Consider the following 3,435-nt stretch of genomic DNA (forward strand, 5'->3'; position numbering starts at 1 on the left):
TTTTTGGTTCCATATGAACTTTAAAGTAGTTTTTTCCAATTCTGTGAAGAAAGTCATTGGTAGCTTGATGGGGATGGCATTGAATCTGTAAATTACCTTGGGCAGTATGGCCATTTTCATGATATTTATTCTTCCTACCCATGAGCATGGAATGTTCTTCCATTTGTTTGTATCCTCTTTTATTTCGTTGAGCAGTGGTTTGTAGTTCTCCTTGAAGACGTCCTTCACATCTCTTGTAAGTTGGATTTCTAGGTATTTTATTCTCTTTGAAGCAATTGTGAATGGGAATTCACTCAAGATTTAGCTCTCCTCCTCCAAAGGATGATTTGGCTCTCTGTTTGTCTAGGCTGCTCAGGGGTCAAGGGTCAGGGACCCACTTGAGGAGGCAGTCTGCCTGTTCTTAGATCTCCAGCTGTGTGCTGGGAGAACCACTGCTCTCTTCAAAGCTGTCAGACAGGGACATTTAAGTCTGCAGAGGTTACTGCTGTCTTTTTGTTTGTCTGTGCCCTGCCCCCAGAGGTGGAACCTACAGAGGCAGGCAGGCCTCCTTGAGCTGTGTTGGGCTCCTACCAGTTCGAGCTTCCTGGCTGCTTTGTTTACCTAAGCAAGCCTGGGCAATGGCGGGCACCCCTCCCCCAGCCTCGCTGCTGCCTTGCAGTTTGATCTCAGACTGCTGTGCTAGCAATCAGCGAGACTCCGTGGGCATAGGACCCTCAGAGCCAGGTGCGGGATATAATCTCCTGGTGCGCCTTTTATTAAGCCCGTCGGAAAAGCGCAGTATTTGGGTGGGAGTGACCCAATTTTCCAGCTGCCGTCTGTCACCACTTTCTTTGACTAGGAAAGGGAACTCCCTGACCCCTTGAGCTTCCCGAGTGAGGCAATGCCTCGCCCTGCTTCGGCTCGCGCACAGTGTGCGCACCCACTGACCTGCGCCCACTGACTGGCACTCCCTAGTGAGATTAACCCGGTACCTCAGATGGAAATGCAAAAATCACCCATCTTCTGCGTCGCTCACGCTGGGAGCTGTAGACCGGAGCCGTTCCTACTCGGCCCTCTTGGCTCCTCCCCGAGAAAGCTAAAATTTTCATGAATATCAAGCAGAACAGGATTTTACCACATGAACTGAACAGAAGGCTGATACAATCTTTTTACGACTTTTTGCTTAAAATGCCAGTGATCCTTTGTTTTTCAGAGCCAAGAAAACTTTTCTTTTGCATGATTTACAGATTTAACAATTAAGTAACTTATATTCCTATAAACAAAATTGGAGCATATTTCTTTCTTTCTACCTGATTTCTCCAGAATTTAGAAATTATTTGTGAGTATTCTGAACTTATGGCAATATAGTTATTTGCCTAACTTTGATAAAAATTTATTTTCTTTTGCAACAGGCCACAGTCAGAGAAACTGGTTATTTTACCAATTCTTTGACTAGAATGGCATGCTTTCCTTTAAGGAGTCAAACTTGACTTACAGAGTCAATAGAAGCCCCTTGGGAAAACTGGTCTCATACTTCGTCTACACAATCCCTGTACAGGATGTCTGACCTGTGGTAAGCAAAGAATATCACTTTCTGACAGGCCTGGGAACCTCAAGTTATCTTGGGATCTCAAGAACAGATTAATTTAGCCAACCCATACTGGGATTTGATGGCAGAAACCCTTGGCTGTGCCTAAATCTTTAAAAAGCCTTATCTGAGCTTTCTTATGGAATCAAGTTCTATCAAAGACAATTTAAAGGAGCTTATATGGCAAATAATTATCCTTGCTGTGCTTTATGCAAATAATCAGGAGAAGTATAATAATACTAAAGCTTATTTTGCAAATGAATTAATCCTATCATAATTCATTTTTAATAAAATGAGGAATGAAGAGAGAAAAATTATATTTCATGAACTATGGTATACCTGTTATTAGATTCTAGTCTCAACAGTTGTTTTTGAGTTTTTGTCTGCAATTTAGACTAACCAAGCTTATTTCTGTGAACCAACCAGTGATCTCTGGCTGCAGCTCAGAAGAAACAATAAGGATGGGCAATGTAAAATTCTAGATCAATTTTCTAACTCTGGGCACATATTAGAATTGGCCAGCAGCCCCATGCATGCAAGTCTTAGCAGGCATGACTATAGCCACCAGCTATCAGGACATTTTGGCAGTCCAGGAATATTTTTGAAACTGTCCTCACCCCCATTATTTGCTTTGACATTTCTACTTGTCCTTTTTGGCTGAAGTCTTCTAAATCTCACAACCTGATTTTTTTTCCTCTCACCTTCAGGCCATTAAACTCTATATGATTCCCAGTGAGGGATGCCAGCTTCTCAATATTTAAGAGTCACTTTTATACAGATTCTCCTAGATTGCCCATTAGAGGACATGACAGAGGTGAAACCCTGCCCTTGTCTCCCTTGGATCTGGCTGAATACGGCTTTCACCAACCCACAGCTGTCACCATGCTCTGACAGCTAGCAAGAGGCCAAGACCCACAGAACAACCACCACCACCCCTCTGTCAGCAGGAAGCAGTTACAGAAGACTGATCTTTATTCATTTTCCCCAAATAACTGAGGTCTTGGAACACTTGAGGGGGGAGATATTACAGTAGGTAGGTAGTCAGAGGTGAGCAGGGCAGAAGTGCCCTTCTCTCCCATCACCAGGAATGTCAGACTACCATCAGGTGATGTCCAGATGGTTGTTAAACTATTTAAAATAATAATCCGTCACAGCTGGTGCCAAGGAAGGGCCGTCTCCCAATAAATAAACACCTGAAATGGCTGATCAGCATCTCCTTTATTAAAATCTTAGGAGTTGGATGATTGGGCTCAAGCATGTGCATTAAGAGACATAATCACAGAGTTTAATAAAGTATATATCCTTCCTTTAGTAACACTTGACTGATAAGGGAAAAATGCCTTAAATGAGCATGAACACAACTTTGGTAAACACACCGCACATGCAGCCCCTCCCAAGTGCTAGCAGGCCACTGTGCCTTTGGACAGCCCAGCCCAAGGGAAGAATCAGGGAAGAAGGGATGCACCCTGCTGGAAGCATGCCAACATTTAAAACCTAAGTCAAAGATCAAACCATGAACTTGAATCTCTCTGGTTGCTCACTTTGCCCTCTTTCAAGTGTGCTTTATTTCCTTTCATTCCAGCTCTAAAACTTTTTAATAAACTTTTACTCCTGCTCTAAAACTTGACTTGGTCTCTTCCTCTGCCTTATGCCACTCAGTAAAATTATGTTTTTTGAGGAGGCAAGAATTGAGGTTGCTGTAAACATGTACATATTTGCCACTGCTAACAATATTAGGAAAGAATATTGCTGCAATAACCTAATATCTTAAAATGAATATTTAAAAGTTCTAGGTAAAAATTATTTTAAACCAAAGAAATTGTTATTATTTTTCTTGAAAAGGACCATTTATAATGTAGATATAATAA

The 3,435-nt window shown here is 42.0% G+C and overlaps 1 annotated feature.

The window, feature by feature from the left end:
- Positions 221 to 722: an enhancer, noted in NCBI's record as "H3K4me1 hESC enhancer chr8:114536695-114537196 (GRCh37/hg19 assembly coordinates)". NCBI's record gives its function as "activates a minimal SCP1, AML or CMV promoter by ChIP-STARR-seq in naive H9 embryonic stem cells {active_cell/tissue: H9 hESC(naive)}" and the evidence as "EXISTENCE:reporter gene assay evidence [ECO:0000049][PMID:30033119]".

The sequence above is a fragment of the Homo sapiens genome, chromosome 8 (genome assembly GCF_000001405.40).
Source record: "Homo sapiens chromosome 8, GRCh38.p14 Primary Assembly".
Taxonomy (NCBI): domain Eukaryota; kingdom Metazoa; phylum Chordata; class Mammalia; order Primates; family Hominidae; genus Homo; species Homo sapiens.